Source organism: Homo sapiens, chromosome 2 (assembly GCF_000001405.40).
Source record: "Homo sapiens chromosome 2, GRCh38.p14 Primary Assembly".
In the NCBI taxonomy this organism is placed as follows: Eukaryota; Metazoa; Chordata; class Mammalia; order Primates; family Hominidae; genus Homo; species Homo sapiens.
This window is the reverse complement of record NC_000002.12, coordinates 230824192-230824766: the sequence shown is the minus strand read 5'-3', so window position 1 is coordinate 230824766 and position 575 is coordinate 230824192. Positions and strand designations below refer to the sequence as shown.

Genomic DNA, 575 nt, shown 5'->3' with positions numbered 1-575 from the left:
GTTGTTGCCCAGATTTGCCCTAGAACGCTCCATTCCCTCCAGCTCAGAGCCTGCTGAAAACAAGGAGCTCTACTGCCACCCAGTGGACATTTTTAAAAAATGAAAGCAAGTTGACTGCAGGGAAAGCTCATGGGGACCCCGCAAGGCAGAGAGGCCCCTTCAGGCGTCTTTGAGCTGCCTTAGCACCATTGGGCGGGCTCTGCCTCCACATAGACCCTAGCCCTCTCTCCACTGTCCCCATCCAAATTCTTTTCTCAACCTGGACGTTTCCTAAAATTCTGGCTCCAATTCCCAATTGTGCAATCATTTTGTTGGGCTAGACTATACCTTTCAAGTCTTTTTTTTTAAAGGGGGCAGAACATGAGAAAATCTGGGGTTTTCCAGTTTTGCTAGCATGTTTGATGACCATGAAGAACTATTTGGGAGCAGATAGTGTGTCCTATCCAGCTGCTTTTGAAAGGATAAGAGTCAGGGGGCACTGGCTGACTGGGGGACAGCAAGCCTGTGTCGGGGGTCTCAGAACAGCTTCTTTAGGCAGTAGGAGCTGTGGCCAAGAGCGGCTCTGCTGAGCTGGG

General features: G+C 50.4%; 1 annotated feature.

Moving 5' to 3' along the window:
• Window positions 199-368: an enhancer, noted in NCBI's record as "active region_17249". NCBI's record gives its function as "activates an Ori minimal core promoter by ATAC-STARR-seq in GM12878 lymphoblastoid cells {active_cell/tissue: GM12878}" and the evidence as "EXISTENCE:reporter gene assay evidence [ECO:0000049][PMID:35858748]".